At 43.0% G+C, this 13,105-nt stretch overlaps 1 protein-coding gene across 6 annotated transcripts in view; it reads right to left on the bottom strand.

The window, feature by feature from the left end:
• AK5 (adenylate kinase 5) overlaps positions 1-13,105 on the bottom strand; it is a 277,948-nt gene that overhangs the window by 30,618 nt on the left and 234,225 nt on the right. For all 6 annotated transcript variants that reach the window (NM_174858.3, XM_005270739.6, NM_012093.4 and 3 more), the window contains 2 exons: positions 10,622-10,785; positions 7,406-7,522 (listed from right to left, as the gene is read on the bottom strand). In NM_174858.3, the coding sequence (NP_777283.1) occupies positions 7,406-7,522; positions 10,622-10,785 (281 nt within the window). The remainder of the gene's footprint in view (positions 1-7,405; positions 7,523-10,621; positions 10,786-13,105) is intronic.

Raw genomic sequence — 13,105 nt, 5'->3', positions numbered from 1 at the left:
AAAAAAAAAAAAAACCTATAAAACGGGGGTCCTAACACCTGTTAAGTAGGACTGTAAAAATTAATCAAATGAAATGTGTAAAGCATCAAGTTCAGTTTCTGGCGCATTGTAAGTACTCAAAAAATAATTACTATTCCTATGTTCTGTATGATTTTAACTAAGCAAAAACAGGCAGAACAAAGCTTGGGGAGAACATACATTAAATATTAATAGGTATTATCACTGGGTGGTTAGTTATTCTTTGTTTTATATTTTTGTGTATTGTTTCATACTATATAATTTTTATTTCTATAGTCAGAAAAAATACACATTATTAAAAAAACTGTAAAGACTTATTGAACACCATATGTAGGCTTATAAGTGTGTAAAGGCACTTGTCAAGGATCCCATCCAATCTTCCCAACAATCACTGAGGTATGTATTTCCAACCAACATTTTGTAGAAGAGGAGAAGGAGATCTACAAAGTTAGCTGACTTGCTTACCAGCCAATGAATTACAAAGCCAGGCTCCAAATACAGGCCTGTTCACACCAGAGTCACTATAACCAGGGGTTCTCAGCTGGAGTGGGGAATGAGGATGGTGATCAGAAACCCTGACTCCTCCCTCATATTCCTTCTGCCTCATTACACACATCTACATGCATACATGCATTACATACATGTACATATACACAGCCCCTCCCCCAGTAATCATTCTGTAAACTGAAGGTATAGGTTGTAATTCAACAGGGATAAAACCAGCTTGGGGAATAGAAGATAGGAAGGTAACAGAAACCACACATAGACTTACCCTTAAGCTGTGGACATTAGTTTGCATTTGATTTTTAGCGATGTCATATGCAGTGTCCAAGGAAATCCTCAAAGGACCTTGTATCTCGGAGAACTCAGCTACAGGTATGCAAAAGTGTCAGCCTAACTAACTGAATTTTTAAAGGAACTGATGGTCCAATGCATCGGACGCATCAATCTCGGTGACACAGAAAGGCTGGTGAGATTTTTGTGGGCTGGTTAAAACCTCTCCAGGCTTGAATGGACCTCAAACATAGTTGCAGGCCTGATGCACTAGGGGAAATACTATGCTTTCAACCAAGCTGATTACTTTGAATCTCTGGGGAAAATCAGATGTCTGCATTTGTCTTTGTCAAATTTCAAATGAATTTCTTGCTTGTAATTTGGAGGGGAGCTACAAATGAAGGGCCCTGCAGGGCATTAAGGAGTCAACAGTAGCTCATTCTGTGTTTGTAGCATCTTTGTTCATCTGGTCAGGTTTTATTATTATTATTATTATTTGAGATGGAGTTTCACTCTGTTGCCCAGGCTGGAATGCAGTGGTGCGATCTTGGCTCACTGCAACCTCTGCCTCCTGGGTTCAAGCGATTCTCCTGCCTCAGCCTCCCAAGTAGCTGGGATTACAGGCATGTGCCACCACGTCCCGCTAATTTTGTATTTTTAGTAGAGACGGGGTTTCGCCATGTTAGTCTGGCTTGTCTCAAACTCCTGACCTCAGGTGATCTGCCCGCCTCGGCCTCCCAAAGTGCTGGGATTACAGGCGTGAGCCACCGTGCCCGGCCATCTGGTCAGGTTTAAAGCAGGAGCTCATTCTGGAGGGCTGGATGTGTTCTCTTGCACACCTGCTTAATTGATACTAGAATCTTCTAAAGTTACTGTACCCAGGGACAAATCAATGTCACTCTTGGTCTCTGTAAGTTCCTCCTAGCAGTATGTAAGAAATCATCTTTGTAGATGTCTAAAATCTCACTTAACGGTTGTATGCTCAGTAATGAAATGTGTTACCTGTGTGTTGTTTGAAATGGAATCATGAATTTTAGCATTGAGTGTAACTGTCCAGTCACCATGTTGATGACTTTCTTGTTCCTTAGTTCTAGTTAGGCTTCTTCTCTGCCACATTCTAAAACCGGTCTGAACGGGGACCACAGTGGGAGAGGAAGTTTTTTGCTTTACTTTAGGGAAGATCACATGGACCATTTGAATTCATACTTACGCCAGAGGACAGACCAATGGGCTGCATAGAGCTCTGAGCTCACCCTAACTGGGTTTTAAGCAAAGGAGGAAGTGGTGATGGAGCAGGAATTTTAGAGGCTTGTATGAGGTGTGATTAACAAATGAGTGATGCTAAACTAGATAATATTTTATAAACTTTTATAGCTTAGAAGACATTTATGCATGTTATATGATCTGATGTTTACAAAACCTTTTAAATAGGTGTTAACAGGTATTATTATCTCCATAATAAATGACAGGTGAAAACCTAGATTTTCTGACTCCAGAGTACACGAGTGACATGCTTTTAATGATTCCACCTTGGGAAGGTCCAGGGTTGTCATTGCTCAAAATGATGTGGAACCCCATAGGCGTTAAGTTCTGGGGTTTGCCTTCAGACTCAATTTTAAAATTCCCCAAAGAAGAATAAGGATTATAATTTAATTTTGTTGTTGTTGACCGAGAGAGAGAGAGAGACCTTATTTATTTACTATACATCTTGTCCTCGATCATTTGAGGGTTTCAAGAGAATGTTCTACCACCTCTCAGAGCAATTAAAAAAAAAAAAAGACTTGGCCAGGCGAGGTGGCTCAAGCCTGTAATCCCAGCACTTTGGGAGGCTGAGAGGGCAGATCACGAGGTCAGGAGATCAAGACCATCCTGGCTAACACGGTGAAACCCCATCTCTACTAAAAATACAAAAAATTAGCCAGGTGTGGTGGCGGGCGCCTGTAGTCCCAGCTACTTGGGAGGCTGAGGCAGGAGAATGGCGTGAACCCGGGAGGCAGAGCTTGCAGTGAGCCAAGATCGCACCACGGCACTCCAGCCTGGGCGACAGAGCGAGACTCCGTCTCAAAAAAAAAAAAAAAAAAAAAAAAAAAAGACTTTTATTCCCATCGCTTCCAAACATGCGCAGGACCTGTCCTGACTTTCCTGGAGGGTCTCTCAGAGCTCTTCTAACCTTAAGTTCAAGGGCAAGGTAAGTGGGAAAAGCCTGAAACACTGTTGACCCTGCAGCAGTTATTACACATCTACAATTGTATGTTAGTGTCATGTTTACACAACTGCCAATCCTCATAGACAGGAAGCTTCTCAACGTTTGTACCACACCTTCCTCTTCCTTTCCCCTCCAACCCCCCAGCCCTGCACAGGCCTTGATTCTAAGGTGGTGTAAGAAAAATACTCCTGTTCCTCAGTTACTTAGAATGTATCCCTAGGGACTTATCCACAGCCTAGACGTTGGCTAGAAGATTAGAATAAACAAAATCTAAAACAATCCATGGAAGGCTTAATATTGCTAAGATGTCGATATTACCCAAAGTGATCTACAGATTTAATGTAATCCCTATCAAAATCCTAATTTTTTTTTCCAGGAATAGAAACATCATTTTAAAACCATATAGAATCTCAAGAGGCCCTCAATTGCCAAAACAATCACCAAAAAGAACAACAAAGCTGGAGGTCTCACACTTCCTGATTTCAAAACTTATTACTAAGCTACAGTAATCAAAAGAATGTGGTACAGGCATAAAGACAGATATATAGACCAATAGAATAGACAGTCCAAAAATAAACTCTCACATATATATGGTCAAATGATTTTTCATGAGGATGCTAGTATGGTTTGGAATTTGTTCCCTCCAAATCCCATGTTGAAATGTGACCGCCAGTGTTGGAAGTGGGGCCAGTTGGAGGTGTTTGGGTCATGGGGGCAGATTGCTCATGAACAGCTTGGTGCTATCCTCGTGGTAATGACTGAGTTCTCATTCTCTAAGTTCATGGAAGATGTGATTATAGAAAAGCGTCAGGGGCCTCTGCCATCTCTCTCTCAACATGTGATGCACTGGCTTCTCCCTCACCTTCCGCTGTGAGTGGAAGCTTCCTGAGGCCTCACCAGAAGCAGATGTCAATGCCATGCTTCCTGTACAGGCTGCAGAACCATGAGCCAAAATAACCTCTTTTCTTTATAAATTACCCAGCCTCAGGTATTCCTCATAGCAATGCGAACGGACTAACATAAATGTCAAGATCATTCTGTAGGAGAAAATATTCTTCCAACAAATGGCATTGGGAAAACTAGATATCCGTATGCAAAATAATCTGACACCATATATAAAAAATTAGCTGAAAATGGATCAAGGCTGGGCATGGTAGCTCACGCCTGTAATCCCAGCACTTTGGGAGGCCAAGGCAGGCGGGTCACATGAGGCCAGGAGTTCAACACAAGCCTGGGCAACATGGTGAAACTCCGTCTCTACTAAAAGTACAAAAAAATTAGCCAGGCGTGGTGGCATGTGCCTGTAGTCCCAGCTACTTGGGAGGCTGAGGCACGAGAATTGCTTGAACCTGGTAGGTAGAGGTTGCAGTGAGCCAAGATTCACCACTGTACTCCAGCCTGGGCGACAGACTGAAACTCCATCACAAACAAACAAAGAAACAAACAAACAAACTGGATCAAAATACCTAAATATATAAGCGCTAAAACTACAAAGCTTTTAGAAGAAAATACGGAGGGAAGGCTTCATGGGGATTAGGTAATAACTTCTTGTACAGGACAAAAAGCACAGGCAACAGAAGTAAAAATAGATAAATTGGACTACACCAAAATGAAAAGCTTTTGTGCATCAAAGGACACAACCAAAAGAGTGAAAAGACAGCCTATCAAATGAAAGAAAATATCTGTAAGTCATATATCTGATAAGGAGTTACTATCCAAAATATATAAAGAACTCCTACAACTAGACAACAACAAAAAGAAAACAACTTCATTTAAAGCACATGAAAAGATGCTCAATGTCACTAATCATTAGAGAACTGCAAATCAAAACCACAATAAGATACCACCTCACACCCATTAGGATGGCCACTATCAAAAAAACCCATAAAATAACAAGTGTTGGTGAGAAGAAATTGAAATTCTCACGCATTGTCGGTAGGAATGTAAAGTGGTGTGGCCACTATGGCTGGCAGTATGTATGTATATGTGTAGTATGGTGGCTCCTCAAAAAATTAAAAATAGAATTACCATATGATCTAGCAATTCCACTTGTGGGTATATACCCAAAAGAACTAATGCAGGAACTTGAACAGATATTGTACACATGTAGTCATGGCAACATTATTCACAATAGCCAGAAAGTGAAAGCAACCCCAGTCTCTATCGATAGGTGAATGAATAAAAATAATGTGGCATATACATACAATGGAATGTTATTTGACCCAGAAAAGGAAGGAAATTCTGACACATGCTACAACATTAATGAACCTTGTGGACATTTTGTTAAGTGAAATAAGAGGTACCTAGAATAGTGAAATTCACAGAGATAGGAAGAAAAATGGTGGTTGTCAGGAGCTGGGGAAAGGAGGGAGAGGGTAGAGTTTCAGGCAGGTGCGGTGGCTCACACCTGTAATCCCAGCACTTTGGGAGGCTGAGGTGAGAGGATCACCTGACCCCAGGAGTTCAAGTCCAGCCCTTGTAACAGAGTGAGATCCCCATCTCTACAAAAAATCAAAAAGTTTAGCTGGGTGTGGTGGTGCAGTCCCAGTTGCTCAGGAGGCTGAGGTGAGAGGATTGCTTGGGCCTTGAGGTTGAGGATGCAGTGAGCTATGAATGCACCACTGCACTCCAGCCAGGGCAACAGGGCAAAACCTTGTCTCCAAAAATAAAAATAAATAAAATAAATAGTAGGTAGAGTTTCAGTTTAGCAGATAAAAAGAGTTCTCAAGATGGTGGTGATGGTTTCATAACAATATGAATGTACTTAACATCCTTGAACTGTACACTTAAAAATGGTTAAGATGACAAATTTTGTTATGTCTATTTTACCACAATTATTTAAAAAGTAGAACAACGCTCCCAATTCCATCTTGTAAAAAACTAGTTAATTTATATTGAGGTTTGTGCTCTTGAAGTGATTTTTTTCATGGGAAAAAGCTCATTAGAACTTGGGCATGTGAGTGTCCCCCATCAAGAACTGCCTAAAACTTCCACAGTAATGGGGCTCTGCTCTGCAAATCCACTTCTCCCTGCCCACCCCCATCTTGCTGATGGAAGCTCTGGAGTCGAGGGACAGCCAGAATGGGTCCAGGGTCCACCCATGCCAACTAGACCTAGACATGTTTTCTTTGACTCTGGTTTCATGTAGGAAGTGTAGGGGAAGATGAGCAATTGACCTTGAAGTATTTTGACACTAAGGAAATTAAATGAAACAGGCTCAGAAGGAGGTCAAAGTAAACCCCCAGAGACACACAAGTATAATTCACCTCAATCAATGTTACTAGAAGTGGATGGCGATGGGTCCCGCAAAATCTTAGTCCTGCTAGCAGTTGGCACTTACCAGTAAGTTGTCACCAGCTGTGTGGCCATGGGGAAGTCATTAACCCTTTCTGGGCTTCACTCATCACCTTTAACATGAGGACAATACTTCCCCTATCTATCTAAAAAGGTTATTAAAAAAAAACGAGAAAACTGTATATGAAAAATGTTTCAAAACTAGTCTGAAGAGATATCTCTATAAATATGAATTTCTTTTAAGTTCTCAAGTCAGTATTTGTTTAACAATGAGGCCAGTTTTACCCTTCTTGCCTGGACTTGTAAGATTACAGGTACTCTCTATAAAGTGTGGGCACAGGATCTGGCCCAGAGTGGGTTCAATACGTGGCAGCCACAATGGTTTTTACTTACTGCTGCTCCCCTGTGAGTATCCCTGACCCACCCTCCTCACTAGGAGAGGGTGGGCAGGGAGGTGGGATGGTGGGAGGATAGTGGGAGGGTGGTGTGTAGTTCTGATTCTGCCTGTCCAGCACCCATTCCCCCGTCTTCTTGTAAGGGCAGCCCTACTTTTCCTGGGGGTAATTTTCCTTCCCTGTGTGGTTCAGGTGTGGTGCCCTTGCTCCCTCCTCCCTTCCCATCCTTCCTTGGTCCTCCAGGCTGGGCCAGCCAGCGTATTCCCTCTTCTTCCCTCTCGGCCTCAGTAATTGGTTCAGTGATGATGGGACTGTGACCAAATCCAGGATAGGAAACACAACTCTGGGTCTTTTGCTGGACCCACTGGGAAACAGAAACACTTTTCTATGAAGCCACTTAGATGGTAGAAGGTAAGCCTTGATCAGGAAGAAAATGAGACCAACACAAAGGAAAGAGAATTAGAGAGAGAGAGAGAGAGTCAGACAATTGATGAACACATTTGGATATCTGGAGTCAACCAAATCTAAACCACTGCTGGGTGTTTTAGTTACTTAAGTCAATAAATCTCCTTTTTTTAAATTTCTAGTTTGAGTCAAGTTTCTGCCCCTTAAAGTTTTCATTAATGTAATTGGGAAAGAAATAGACTTTGAATTATCACCCAACCTCAAGGATGTCCCCTATTTTTCTTCTGGAAGGATGCCCGTAACAACCACTCACCCTGCGTCCGAACTCTTCCCCTTGCTTCACCTCCCGAGGATAGCCGTCAATCAGGAAGCCCCTGGTGTCCCCGAGGCTGGCCACCATGGCCTCCTTCAGGAGCTCCAAAACGATGCCCTGGAGCAAAGCGAGAGTGGTCAGGACCTGAGCTCTTTCACAGAACACTAGAAGTACCCCAAGTCTCCTTCAGTCATCCACTGAGGGAGGGAGGAAGGTTCAGGTAAGGTTAACAGCAGACAGCAATTGACCATATTTCATTTCACTCTTCCACCTCCACCCCATATTTTAATATCTATGAAATTGGCAGGTATTTATAATCAGTTCTGAGTCATAGTTTAATTGTTAGTGTTTTTTTCTTACTGGTATATTCTTACCAGTTATCTGTCTTAAAATATTGGCATCTTAGATTAGATGAGGTAAGGTAGCTGCATTTCATATGGTAGCACTCCATGAATTAGGCATAATGGCAATTTAAAACTAGACAAAACATGGTATAAAAAGTATTTTACTGGCCGGGTGCGGTGGCTCATGCCTGTAATCCTAGCATGTTGAGAGGCCGAGGTGCGTGGATCACCTGAGGTCAGGAGTTCAAGACCAGCCTGGCCACCATGGTGAAACCCCATCTCTATTAAAAATACAAAAATTGGCCGGGCATTGCCGTGGGCACCTGTAATCCCAGCTACTCAGGAGGTTGAGGCAGGAGAATCGCTTGAACTCGGGAGGTGGAAACTGCAGCAAGTCAAGATCCTGCCACAGCCCTCCAGCCTGGGTGACGAGCGAGACTGTGTCTCAAAAAAAAAAAAAGGTATCTTACTGTTAACTTTTTTTCCAGTAAATATTTTATAAAATTTGACATCTACTGACTTAAAAGACTTTAGGTAGATGTAAAGTAGCATTTTCAAGTAACATCACTTTCTTTGTTGAAAATTTGTATTTAGCAAGTGCTATGGTAAATGAAGTAGGAGAAATACACCAGAGTCTGGAAATTGGTAGAGGAAAAACGCAATCAGCTGCCAGTGGAGGAATTCCCTTTTCGTGGGCTCTCTGGCTTTTGGCAGGGGCTTGGGGAATGCGGCCATTGCAAGTGTGGTTAGAATCTATCCCTAGATAATCGTGAATGAAGTCCTCATGAAGTTTATATTCTAATGAAGAAGACAGACCATAGATGAACAAATAAATATATAATGAAGAGTCAGCGAAGATAACTGATAGGTACAAAATTAAAGCAGGACAAAGAGGTACAGAATGCTAGAGGTGTTACTTTCTATAGGGTGGTCAGGGAAGGCATCTGATAAAGTGTAACACTGAAGTGGAGATCTGGATGAAGTCAAGGACCAAACTATGTGACTGTATGAAGGGAGAGCATCAGGCTGCAGACACAGCAAATGCAAAGGCCCTGAGGCAGGAACAGGCTGACTTGTGGGAGGAACAAGGAGGCTAGTGGTGGGTGGGAGTGAGCAAGGTGAGAGTGGTGAGAAATAACACTGGAGAGGGAGCTGGAGGCCAGAGCTACAGAAAGGACTCTGATTTCATCCTAAGTGTGGCGGGCAGCCATTGGAAGGTTTTGAGGAAGGGAATAACACACTTTGATAAATGTTTCAAAGAAATCATTCTGGCTGTGTCAGAAGTGTTTGAACCAGAGCAACTCCATCTTGAATAAAGGCTGGATAAAATAAGGCTAAGACCTACTGGGCTGCATTCCCAGAAGGTTAAGGTATTCTCTTTTTTTTTTTTTTTTTTTGAGATGGAGTTTCACGCTGTTGCCTGGGCTGGAGTGCAGAGGCGTGATCTTGGTTCACTGCAACCTCTGCCTCCCAGGTTCAAGCAATTCCCCTGCCTCAGTCTTCCAGGTAGCTGGGATTACAGGTGCCCGCCACCATGCCCAGCTAATTTTTTGTAGTTTTAGTAGAGATGGGGTTTCACCATGTTGGCCAGGCTGGTCTCAAACTCCTGACCTCGTGATTCACCTGCCTCGGCCTCCCAAAGTGCTGGGATTACAGGCATGAGCCACTGCGCCCTGCCAGGTTAAGCATTCTAAGTCACAGGATGAGATAGGAGGTCAGTACAAGACACAGGTCATAAAGACCTTGCTGATAAAGCAGGTTGCAGTAGAGAAACTGGGTAAAACCCACCAAAACCAAGATGGCAACAAGGGTGACCTCTGGTTGTCATCACTGCTACACTCCCATCAGCGCCATGACAGTTTACAAATGCCACAGCAATGTCAGGAAGTTACCCTATATGGTAAAAAAGGGGAGGCATGAATAATCCATCCCTTGTTTAGCATATCATCAAGAAATAACACATAAAATGGGTAACCAGTAGCCCTTGGGGCTGCTTTGTCCATGGAGCAGCCATTCTTTTATTCCTCTACTTTCTTAATGAACTTCCTTTCACTTTACAACTTGCCCTGAATTCTTTCTTGCACAAGATCCAAGAACCCTCTCTTGGGGTCTGGATTGGGACCCCTTTCTGGTAACAGCTGCTGTGAAAAGAGGAGACTTTAGGGAAAAGAGTGGGCTCCAGGAGGCCAGCTAAGTGGCAGCTGTAATGGTCTGTTTTCCTTTCATGAGGACCATTCTGGCTTCCAGGTGGGAAACAGAGTGCAGCTGGTTATAGAGAAATCAGACAGCTCTGTTGCTAACAGAGACTGTATCATACGGCCCTCATTACAGAGCCTATCATGGGACCCAGTGTGGCAGGGATGAATATTTCTTGATATCCCTACCATTCAGCTTCTTAGAGATGGATGGTGACTTTAGAAGAAAAAAGATAGAAAAGGGGATATTCTTAAATTACACAAGAAGATACCAAATTTCAAGATAATCATACCTCCCAGAACTAAACCAAAGCATTATTTTATATTTTCTGGGGGTTTCTAATTCTAGGCTCTGCTGCACCACACTCACTTCTATTTTGAAGCCTTTCCAATTCTAAAGTGGGATGAATTTAGGGGAAAAATGTGAAATTAGGCCAACATTTGAGGGCCTGGTAGAGCAACAAGATGGAAGGAGCCTGGGCCAGCTCGACCTGGTTGAGTAGAAGGTCTGTCTGCTGTAGACCTGCCTGCATCTGGATTGCTGCAAAGGAGGGAAATAATATACAGCTATTGTTTCTTTGGGTTTCTTAGTTCCAGCAGCTCAGATTCATTACAAAAACCCCAAAGGTCTCCCCAGACAGGAAAGGCAGTAATGTGGGTCAGGCCATGTTGCTTACTGAGGGCACCAGGTCTCCACGTTCCATAATGTCTCTGATCAATTTGCTTCTTTCAGATTCTGATGCCAGTTCCTCACGCAGGAGCTCGCCAGTTGAGAGATGTGTAAATCCATATTTTTCCACCAGCTTTTCACACTGTGTGCCTTTGCCAGAGCCAGGACCACCTTGAAAAGAAGTCATGTGTCAGACATGCATTCCAAGTCTGGTGCCTCATTTTTAATGGTAGTCACCATGGTGAGCAAGCCTCAGTGTTCCAGTCACTAAGCATGTATTGGGAACTTGAGATTTGCTATACCAGGAGCTGTGCTGAGAGTGGTGGATGCAAGTGGAGAATGGGATGCAGCCCTTGCCTTTAAAGAGCTTAGATTATCCATGAAGCGGGAGGGGGCAGGTGTTACAGAAAAACAAGCAGTTACTTTTCATAGACCACTTGTAACCCATGGTCACAGGCAGTTAGTGAAGATGAGTACAGCCTACTATCGGGGCACAGAGGAGGGGTACTTGGCTCCGTTTTGGTAGAGATGCAAAGTCAGAAAAGTTTCCTTGGAGAACCGAACCCACTCATGTGCAAAGCACTGGCCACAATTCCTGATACTTAGTGAATGCTCAACAAATGCTAGCTTTTAATTTAAAAAAATAAGTGTTTTTATTTTCAGCAATCACCAACTTACAGAAGGGTTGTGAGGACAAAGAACTTTCAGAAACACTTGGGAATAAGTTGCTAATTGGATGCCTCTTTACTCCAGAACCTTTTAGTGTCATTTCCTACAAACAAGGAAACAAGCATATCCTCCATCATAATGATATCCTTGGACCCCTACAAATTTCAACTGAATTGTCCCAATTGACTCAATAATGTCCTCTGAAGTCAATGGGTCAAGTTCAGGATCATACATTGCCTTTAGTTGCCATGTCCTTCTGCTTTCCTTCAGTATAGAACAGTTTCTGTGGGTTTCCTTGACACATTTGAAGATTATGAATAGTTATTTTGTAGAATGTCCCTCAATATGTTTTATTACCTTATTTTTTTCCTTAGCTATTATCAATTCTGAGTATCTGCCATATCCCTTTCATAATAGTATGTCATAGGATTTTATGTCTGAAAATAATAATAATAGCTGACCTTTATCAAGCGCTTACTGTACCAGCCATTATTCTAAACATTTTAGGTATTACGTACAAGGTTATATAAAATAACCTTAAGAGGCATGCACTGTTATTATTCCCATTTTACAGACGAGGAAGCAGAGGCACAGAGAAGTTAAATCCATTGCCTAGGCTGCACTGCTAGTGAGTAGCAAGCCTAGGATTTGAAGCCTGGGCTCTGACTCTCAGAGGTGTTCCCTTCTCTCCTCCCCATTGTGGCCACATTGACCTGGCCACACTTCAGGTCCTCATCTTCTCCGCCTGGCGTATGGCAATCACTCCACCTCTGCATGTCAGAATCGGAGGGGCTTTGGAGCCCCACAGACTTGCTAGCAGGATGATGTGCCTGGAAAGCAGGGCACTCCCACCTCCATAGCACTCAATGGCCTCCTATGCTCCCAGAGTAAAATTCAAATTCCCTACAGCAGCACCCCAACTCTCCAGAATCTAGTCCGACTTTACCTCTCCAGCATCTTTCCCCGCTATTTCTTCTTCTTCTTTTTTTTTTTTTTTGAGATGGTCTTGCTTTATCGACCAGGCTGGAGTGCAGTGGTGTGATCTCAGCCCACTGCAACCTCCACCCCCCAGGTTCAAGTGATTCTCCTGCCTCAGCCTCCCAATTAGCTGGGATTACAGGTGCGCACCACCATGCCTGGCTAATTTTTGTATTTTTTGATACAGACAGGGTTTCACTACGTTGGCCAGGCTGGTGTCGAACTCCTGGCTTCAAGTGATGCACCCGCCTCAGCCTCCTGAAATGCTGGGATTACAGGCATGAGCCACTGTGCCGGGCCCCTCTCCCCATTTCTTACCCTCCTCCAGCACTGTCATGTCCAACTAACACAATTCTTGGACTTTCAATGCTTTCCATGTGCCTGGAAAGGAGGGCACTCCCACCTCCATAGCATTCAATGGCCTCCTATGCCCACACAGACTTTTCCAGGCTACCACGCTTTTGTTCTTCTTGGTCCTCAGCTTGAAAGGCCCTTCCTTCCTCCTCTTCTCTTTGTTTTCTCCCCCAGCTTTATTGAGGTATCATTGATAAAACTATAAATTTAAGATGTACAATGTGATGTTTGATATACATATATATTGTGAAATAATTACCACAATCAAGTTAATAAACCTCCACCTCACATAATCTTTTTTTTTTCTGGTGCTGAAGACATTTCACATCTATTCTAGCTAATTTCAAGTATACAATACAGTGTTGTTAACTGTAGCCATCATGCTGTACATGAGGTCTCCAGAACCACATCTCCTCACTTCCCTAGCCCCTGGCAACCACCATTCTTACAATCTGCTTCCATGAATTTGACTTTTTATGATTCCACGTAC

Source organism: Homo sapiens, chromosome 1 (genome assembly GCF_000001405.40).
Source record: "Homo sapiens chromosome 1, GRCh38.p14 Primary Assembly".
NCBI lineage: Eukaryota > Metazoa > Chordata > Mammalia > Primates > Hominidae > Homo > Homo sapiens.
Note: the sequence above shows the minus strand (reverse complement) of the source record. Positions and strands in the feature narration are given on the sequence as shown.